This window comes from Homo sapiens, chromosome 10 (genome assembly GCF_000001405.40).
Source record: "Homo sapiens chromosome 10, GRCh38.p14 Primary Assembly".
NCBI classification, from domain to species: domain Eukaryota; kingdom Metazoa; phylum Chordata; class Mammalia; order Primates; family Hominidae; genus Homo; species Homo sapiens.
This window is the reverse complement of record NC_000010.11, coordinates 95,075,329-95,085,081: the sequence shown is the minus strand read 5'-3', so window position 1 is coordinate 95,085,081 and position 9,753 is coordinate 95,075,329. Positions and strand designations below refer to the sequence as shown.

Here is a 9,753-nt window from a genome sequence, read left to right as displayed (position 1 = left end):
ACAACAGTACCCAGAGTGTGATGTTCCCCTTCCTGTGTCCATGTGTTCTCATTGTTCAGTTCCCACCTATGAGTGAGAATTTGCGGTGTTTGGTTTTTTGTTCTTGCAATAGTTTACTGAGAATGATGATTTCCAATTTCATCCATGTCCCTACAAAGGACATGAACTCATCATTTTTTATGGCTGCATAGTATTCCACGGTGTATATGTGCCACATTTTCTTAATCCAGTCTATCATTGTTGGACATTTGGCTTGGTTCCAAGTCTTTGCTATTGTGAATAGTGCCACAATAAACATATGTGTGCATGTGTCTTTATAGCAGCATGATTTATAGTCCTTTGGGTATATACCCAGTAATGGGATGGCTGGACAAATGGTATTTCTAGTTCTAGATCCCTGAGGAATCGCCACACTGACTTCCACAATGGTTGAACTAGTTTACAGTCCATCCAACAGTGTAAACGTGTTCCTATTTCTCCACATCCTCTCCAGAACCTGTTGTTTCATGACTTTTTAATGATTGCCATTTTAACTGGTGTGAAATGGTATCTCATTGTGGTTTTGATTTGCATTTCTCTGATGGCCAGTGATGATGAGCATTTTTTCCTGTGTTTTTTGGCTGCATAAATGTCTTCTTTTGAGAAGTGTCTGTTCATGTCCTTTGCCCACTTTTTGATGGGGCTGTTTGTTTTTTCTTGTAAATTTGTTTGAGTTCAGTGTAGATTCTGGATATTAGCCCTTTGTCAGATGAGTAGGTTGTGAAAATTTTCTCCCATTTTGTAGGTTGCCTGTTCACTCTGATGGTAGTTTCTTTTGCTGTGCAGAAGCTCTTTAGTTTAATTAGATCCCATTTGTCAATTTTGGCTTTTGTTGCCATTGTTTTTGGTGTTTTAGACATGAAGTCCTTGCCCATGCCTATGTCCTGAATGGTATTGCCTAGGTTTTCTTCTAGAGTTTTTATGGTTTTAGGTCTAACGTTTAAGTCTTTAATCCATCTTGAATTGATTTTTGTATAAGGTGTAAGGAAGGGATCCAGTTTCAGCTTTCTACATATGGCTAGCCAGTTTTCCCAGCACCATTTATTAAATAGTGAATCCTTTCCCCATTTCTTGTTTTTGTCAGGTTTGTCAAAGATCAGATAGTTGTAGATAAGCGGCATTATTTCTGAGGGCTCTGTTCTGTTCCATTGATCTATATCTCTGTTTTGGTACCAGTACCATGCTGTTTTGGTTACTGTAGCCTTGTAGTATAGTTTGAAGTCAGGTAGTGTGATGCCTCCAGCTTTGTTCTTTTGGCTTAAGATTGACTTGGTGGTGCAGGCTCTTTTTTGGTTCCATACGAACTTTAAAGTAGTTTTTTCCAATTCTGTGAAGAAAGTCATGTGTAGCTTGATGGGGATGGCATTGAATCTGTAAATTACCTTGGGCAGTATGGCCATTTTCACAATATTGATTCTTCCTACCCATGAGCATGGAATGTTCTTCCATTTGTTTGTATCCTCTTTTATTTCATTGAGCAGTGGTTTGTAGTTCTCCTTGAAGAGGTCCTTCACATCCCTTTTAAGTTGGATTCCTAGGTATTTTATTCTCTTTGAAGCAATTGTGAATGGGAGTTCACTCATGATTTGGCTCTCTGTTTGTCTGTTGTTGGTGTATAAGAATGCTTGTGATTTTTGTCCATTGATTTTGTATCCTGAGACTTTGCTGAAGTTGCTTATCAGCTTAAGGAGATTTTGGGCTGAGGCAATGGGGTTTTCTAGATATACAATCATGTCATCTGCAAACAGGGACAATTTGACTTCCTCTTTTCCTGATTGAATACCCTTTATTTCCTTCTCCTTCCTAATTGCCCTGGCCAGAACTTCCAACACTATGTTGAATAGGAGTGGTGAGAGAGGGCATCCCTGTCTTGTGCCAGTTTTCAAAGGGAATGTTTCCAGTTTTTGCCCATTCAGTATGATATTGGCTGTGGGTTTGTCATAGATAGCTCTTATTATTTTTAGATACGTCCCATCAATACCTAATTTATTGAGAGTTTTTAGCATGAAGGGTTGTTGAATTTTGTCAAAGTCCTTTTCTGCATCTATTGAGATAATCATGTGGTTTTTGTCTTTGGTTCTGTTTATATGCTGGATTACATTTATTGATTTGCGTGTATTGAACCAGCCTTGCATCCCAGGGATGAAGCCCACTTGATCATGGTGGATAAGCTTTTTGATGTGCTGCTTGATTCGGTTTGCCAGTTTTTTATTGAGGATTTTTGCATCAATGTTCATCAAGGATATTGGTCTAAAATTCTCTTTTTTGGTTGTGTCTCTGCCCGGCTTTGGTATCAGGATGATGCTGGCCTCATAAAATGAGTTAGGGAGGATTCCTTCTTTTTCTATTGATTGGAATAGTTTCAGAAGGAATGGTACCAGTTCCTCCTTGTACCTCTGGTAGAATTCGGCTGTGAATCCATCTGGTCCTGGACTCTTTTTGGTTGGTAAGCTATTGATTATTGCCAGAATTTCAGCTCCTGTTATTGGTCTACTCAGAGATTCAACTTCTTCCTGGTTTAGTCTTGGGAGAGTGTATGTGTCGAGGAATGTATCCATTTCTTCTAGATTTTCTAGTTTATTTGCATAGAGGTGTTTGTAGTATTCTCTGATGGTAGTTTGTGTTTCTGTGGGATTGGTGGTGATATCCCCTTTATCATTTTTTATTGCGTCTATTTGATTCTTCTCTCTTTTTTTCTTTATTAGTCTTGCTAGCGGTCTATCAATTTTGTTGATCCTTTCAAAAAACCAGCTCCTGGATTCGTTAATTTTTTGAATGGTTTTTTGTGTCTTCTATTTCCTTCAGTTCTGCTCTGATTTTAGTTATTTCTTGCCTTCTGCTAGCTTTTGAATGTGTTTGCTCTTGCTTTACTAGTTCTTTTAATTGTGATGTTAGGGTGTCAATTTTGGATCTTTCCTGCTTTCTCTTGTGGGTATTTAGTGCTATAAATTTCCCTCTACACACTGCTTTGAATGCATCCCAGAGATTCTGGTATGTTGTGTCTTTGTTCTCGTTGGTTTCAAAGAACATCTTTATTTCTGCCTTCATTTCGTTATGTACCCAGTAGTCATTCAGGAGCAGGCTGTTCAGCTTCCATGTAGTTGAGCGGTTTTGAGTGAGATTCTTAATCCTGAGTTCTAGTTTGATTGTGCTGTGGTCTGAGAGATAGTTTGTTATAATTTCTGTTGTTTTACATTTGCTGAGGAGAGCTTTACTTCCAAGTATGTGGTCAATTTTGGAATAGGTGTGGTGTGGTGCTGAAAAAAATGTATATTCTGTTGATTTGGGGTGGAGAGTTCTGTAGATGTCTATTAGGTCCACTTGATGCAGAGCTGAGTTCAATTCCTGGGTATCCTTGTTGACTTTCTCTCTCGTTGATCTGTCTAATGTTGACAGTGGGGTGTTAAAGTCTCCCATTATTATTGTGTGGGAGTCTAAGTCTCTTTGTAGGTCACTCAGGACTTGCTTTATGAATCTGGGTGCTCCTGTATTGGGTGCATATATATTTAGGATAGTTAGCTCTTCTTGTTGAATTGATCCCTTTACCATTAATTAATGGCCTTCTTTGTCTCTTTTGATCTTTGTTGGTTTAAAGTCTGTTTTATCTGAGACTAGGATTGCAACCCCTGCCTTTTTTTGTTTTCCATTTGCTTGATAGATCTCCCTCCATCCTTTTATTTTGAGCCTATGTGTGTCTCTGCCCATGAGATGGGTTTCCTGAATACAGCACACTGATGGGTCTTGACTCTTTATCCCATTTGCCAGTCTGTGTCTTTTAATTGGAGCATTTAGTCCATTTACATTTAAAGTTAATATTGTTATGTGTGAATTTGATCCTGTCATTATGATGTTAGCTGGTTATTTTGTTCGTTAGTTGATGCAGTTTCTTCCTACTCTCTATGGTCTTTGCATCTTGGCATGATTTTGCAGCGGCTGGTACTGGGTGTTCCTTTCCATGTTTAGTGCTTCCTTCAGGAGCTCTTTTAGGGCAGGCCTGGTGGTGACAAAATCTCTCAGCATTTGCTTGTCTGTGAAGTATTTTATTTCTCCTTCACTTATGAAGCTTAGTTTGGCTGGATATGAAATTCTGGGTTAAAAATTCTTTTCTTTAAGAATGTTGAATATTGGACCCCACTCTCTACTGGCTTGTAGAGTTTCTGCCAAGAGATCCGCTGTTAGTCTGATGGGCTTCCCTTTGAGGGTAACCCGACCTTTCTCTCTGGCTGCCCTTAACATTTTTTCCTTCATTTCAACTTTGGTGAATCTGACAATTATGTGTCTTGGTGTTGCTCTCCTCGAGGAGTATCTTTGTGGCGTTCTCTGTATTTCCTGAATCTGAATGTTGGCCTGACTTGCTAGATTGGGGAAGTTCTCCTGGATAATATCCTGCAGAGTGTTTTCCAATTTGGTTCCATTCTCCCTGTCACTTTCAGGTATACCAATCAGACGCAGATTTGGTCTTTTCACATAGTCCCATATTTCTTGGTGGCTTTGCTCGTTTCTTTTTACTCTTTTTTCTCTAAACTTCCCTTCTCACTTCATTTCATTCATTTCGTCTTCCATCGCTGATACCCTTTCTTCCAGTTGATCGCATTGGCTCCTGAGGCTTCTGCATTCTTCATGTAGTTCTCGAGCCTAGGTTTTCAGCTCCATCAGCTCCCTTAAGCACTTCTCTGTATTGGTTATTCTAGTTATACATTCTTCTAAATTTTTTTCAAAGTTTTCAACTTCTTTGCCTTTGGTTTGAATGTCCTCCTGTAGCTCGGAGTAATTTGATCATCTGAAGCCTTCTTCTCTCAGCTCGTCAAAGTCATTCTCCATCCAGCTTTGTTCTGTTGCTGGTGAGGAACTGCATTCCTTTGGAGGAGGAGAGGTGCTCTGCTTTTTAGAGTTTCCAGTTTTTCTGCTCTGTTTTTTCCCCATCTTTGTCGTTTTATCTACTTTTGGTCTTTGATGATGGTGATGTACAGATGGGTTTTTGGTGTGGATGTCCTTTCTGTTTGTTAGTTTTCCTTCTAACAGACAGGACCCTCAGCTGCAGGTCTGTTGGAGTACCCGGCCGTGTGAGGTGTCAGTCTGCCCCTGCTGGGGGTGCCTCCCAGTTAGGCTGCTCAGGGGTCAGGGATCAGGGACCCACTTGAGGAGGCAGTCTGCGCATTCTCAGATCTCCAGCTGCGTGCTGTGAGAACCACTGCTCTCTTCAAAGCTGTTAGACAGGAACATTTAAGTCTGCAGAGGTTACTGCTGTCTTTTTGTTTGTCTGTGCCCTGCCCCAAGGTGGAGCATACAGAGGCAGGCAGGCCTCCTTGAGCTGTGGTGGGCTCCACCCAGTTGGAGCTTCCTGGCTGCTTTGTTTACCTAAGCAAGCCTGGGCAATGGCAGGCGCCCCTCCCCCAGCCTTGCTGCCACCTTGCAGTTTGATCTCAGACTGCTGTGCTAGCAGTCAGCAAGACTCTGTGGGCGTAGGACCCTCTGAGCCAGGTGCGGAATATAATCTCCTGGTGCGCCGTTTTTTAAGCCCATCGGAAAAGCACAATATTTGGGTGGGAGTGACCCAATTTTCCAGGTGCCGTCTGTCACCACTTTCTTTGACTAGGAAAGGGAACTCCCTGATCCCTTGTGCTTCCCGAGTGAGGCAATGCCTCACCCTGCTTCGGCTCGTGCACGGTGCGTGCACCCACTGACCTGCTCCCACTGTCTGGCACTCCCTAGTGAGATGAACCTGGTACCTCAGATGGAAATGCAGAAATCACCCGTCTTCTGCGTCGCTTACGCTGGGAGCTGTAGACCGGAGCTGTTCCTATTTGGCCATCTTGGCTCCTCCCCCGATTTCTCTTTTTTTTTTTTTTTTTGAGACAGACTCTCACTCTGTCGCCCAGTCTGGAGTGCAGTGGAGCGATTTCGGCTCACTGCAAGCTCTGCCTCCTGGGTTCATGCCATTCTCCTGCCTTTGCCTCCTGAGTAGCTGGGACTACAGGTGCCTGCCAACATGCCCAGCTAATTTTTTGTATGTTTTAGTAGAGATGGGGTTTCACTGTGTTAGCCAGGATGGTTTCGATCTCCTGACCTTGTGATCCACCTGCCTTGGCCTCCAAAGTGCTGGGATTACAGGCATGAGCCACTGTGCCCAGCCATAAACTACTCTTATCTTATGTAGAAAGGCTGAATGATGAGCCAATCAAAAATAATAACTACAACAACTTTTTCAAGAAATAGGCAGTGCTGTAAGATATAAATAGATACTACAAAGAGTTAAAAAGCAGGTGGAGGAAGTTGAGGTGTAGAACTTTTATTAGTTCATTTTTGCTTGTTTGTTTGTTTATCTAAACAGTGTTACATTTTTATCAGGTTAAAATAGTGGGTACTGAGACAGTATTTGCAAGTCCATGTGGGAATCTCAAGTCAAAATACATAAAATGGATACAAAAAAAATAGAAAGCAAGAAACTAAACTGTATCAACAGAGAAAATCACCTTCACTAGAAGGAAGACAGGAAGGAAAGAAGACCACAAAACAACCAGAAAACAAATGAGAAAATGGAAGGAGTAAGTCCTTACTTATCAATAATAACATTGAATGTAAATGGAATAAACCATCCAATCAAAACACAGAGTGGCTGAATGGAGGAAAAAGCAAGATCTATTGACCGTTGCCTGCAAGAAACACACTTCACCTATAGAGACACACATAGACTGAATGTAAAAAAATGGAAAAATATATTCCATGCCATTGGAACCCAAAAAAGAGCAGGTGTAGCCATACTAATATCAGACTAAATAGATTTTAAGACAAAAACTATAAGAAGAAAAAAAAACTGTAAGAAGAAACAAATAAGTCAACTTTGATGACCCCATTTAATGATAATGGAGACAATTGAGACAGATGATATGAGAATTTTTAATATATATGCATCCAACACTGGAGCACCCAGATATGTAAAGCAAATATGATTTTAGATATATAGAAAGGTAAACTTTAATACAATAATAGCTGGAGATTTCAACACTTTACTTTCAACATTGGATAGGTCCACTTGACAGACAGTAAACAAAGAGGCTGGGTACAGTGGCTCACACCTGTAATCCCAGCACTTTGGGAGGCCAGAGTGAACAGATTACTTGAGCTCAGGAGTTTGAGACCAGCCTGGCAACATACTGAGACAATGTTTCTACCCAAAAAAAAAAAAAAGAAGAAGAAAAGAAAAAGAGGGAAGGGAAGGGAAGGGAAAGGAAGGGGGAGGGAGAGGGAGGGGAGGGCAGGGGAGGGGAGGGGAGGGGAGACATCTGACATAATCTGCACTACACATCAAATGGATATAATAGATATTTACAAAAGGTTTTATATAATCACTCTAGAACACATACTCTTTTCCTCAGCACATGGATTATTCTCAATAATAGACCATATCTTAAGTCACATAACAAGTCTTAAAACATTCAAAAATAATTGAAATAATATAAACCAACTTCTATGGCCACAGTAAAGTAAAACTGGAAGTCAATAACAGAGGAATCTTGGAAAATATACAAATATATGAAAATTAAACAGTGTGCTCCTGAATGACCAGTGGGTCAATGAAGAAATTTAGAAGAAAATTGAAAATTTCTTGAAATAAATGATAATAGAAACACAACATAACAAAACCTATGAGATACAGCAAAAGCAGTACTAAGAGGAAGTTTATAGCTGTAAGTGCCTACATCAAAAAAAGAGGAAAACCTTCCTATAAATAATCATAACAATGCATCTTAAAGAACAAGAAAAGCAAGAGCAAATGAAAGCCAAAACTAGAAGAAAAGAAATAATAAAGATCAAAACAGAAATAAATTAAATTGAAAAGAAAATAATATAGAAGATGAATTAGCAAAACATTGATTTTGGAAGGTTAAACAAAACTGAAAAACCTCTAGCAAGATTAATTTTAAAAAGAGAAGACCCAAATAAATGAAATCAGAGATGAAAAAAGAGACCTAACAACTGATACTGCAGAAATTTAAAGGATCATTAGTGGTTACTGTGAGCAACTATAAGTCAATAAATTGAAAAACTTAGAAAAAGTGGACAAATTCCTAGACATATACAATCTATCAAGATTGAAACATGAAGAAATCTAAAGCCTGACATGTCAATAACAAGTAATGAGATCAAAGTTGTATTAAAAATCTTCCTGTAAAGAGAAGCCCTGGACCCGAAAGCTTCACCACTGCATCCCACCAAACATTTAAAAAACAACTAATACCAATTCTACTCAAACTATGCCCCCCCAAAAAAAATAGAGCAGGAGGGAATACTTCCAAGCTCATTCTACAAAGCCAGTGTAACCCTGACAATAAAACCAGGCAAAAACATATCAAAAAGAAAAAACTATAGGCCAATTTTGCTGATGAATATTGATGCAAAAATTCTCAACAAAATGCTAGCAAGCTGAATTCAGCAATATTTTAAAAGGACCATTCATCGTGATCAAGTGGGATTTATCCCTGGGATGGAAAGATAGTTTAACTTATGCAAGTCAATTAATGTGATACATCCTGTCAACAGAATGAAAACTATGTGATCATTTCAATTGATGCTGGAAAATCATTTGATAAAGTTCAACATCCTTTCATGATAAAAACCCTCAAAAAACGGGGAATAAAGGAAATAAAACTCAACACAGTAAAACTCATATATGATGGAACTATTAATTATGATAGCTATTATCTTACTTAAAGAGGAAAAATTGATAGGTTTTTCTCTAAGATCTAGAGTTTAAAAACAATGCCTATTTTTATTTTCACCACTGTTATTCAACATAATATTGGAAGTCCTAGCTAGAGTAATCAGACAAATGAAAGAAATAAAGGGCATTTGAATGGAAAAGGACAAATTCAAATTACCCTTGTTGCAGATGGTATAATCTTATAGTTGGAAATACCAAAAGATTCCACCTAAAAAAGCTATTAGAACTGATTTAGAAATTTAGTAAAGTTGCATGATACAAAATCAACATACAAAAATAAGTAGTCTTTTTATATGTCAACAGTGAACAACCTGAAAAAAAATTAAAAAGTAACCTCATTTACAATAGTCACAAACAAAATTAAAGATCTAGGAATTAACTTAATAGTATGAGAGAAAGATCTCTATAAAAAAACTGTAAAACTCTAATTTAAAAAATTGAAGAGAACAGGGAACAAATGAAAAGATATTTCATGTTCATGGAATGGAAGAATCAATATTGTTAAAATATTCTTGCTACCCAAAGAAATCTACAGATTCAATGCTATCACTACCAAAAAAAATGTCATTCTTCACAGAAATAGACAAAAAAACTATCCTAAAGTTTATAAGGAATTACAAAAGACCTAGAATAGCAAAAGCTATTCTAAACAAAAATAATAAAATCAGAAGAACCACATTACCTGACTTCAAATTTTACTACAAGGTTAGAGTAACCCAAACAACATGGTACCGGCATAAAAAAAGGACACATAAACCAATAGAACAGAATAGAGAATCCAGAGACAAATTTACACAACTACAGTGAAGTCACTTTTGACAAATGTGCTAAGAACATACACTGGGGAAGAGACAGTTTTTTCAATAAATGGTGCTAGGAAAACTGGATATCCATATGCAGAAGAATGAAACTAGACCTCTATCTATAATCATATACAAATATCAAATCTAAATGGATTAAAGACTTAAATCTAAGACCTCGAACTATGAAAA

General features: G+C 38.4%; 3 annotated features.

Moving 5' to 3' along the window:
- Window positions 6,793–7,210: an enhancer, noted in NCBI's record as "-8.9 kb to -8.5 kb enhancer fragment". NCBI's record gives the evidence for it as "EXISTENCE:reporter gene assay evidence [ECO:0000049][PMID:15933212]".
- Window positions 6,873–6,892: a protein binding site, noted in NCBI's record as "-8806 site". NCBI's record gives the evidence for it as "EXISTENCE:protein binding evidence [ECO:0000024][PMID:15933212]".
- Window positions 6,873–6,892: a protein binding site, noted in NCBI's record as "-8806 site". NCBI's record gives the evidence for it as "EXISTENCE:protein binding evidence [ECO:0000024][PMID:15933212]".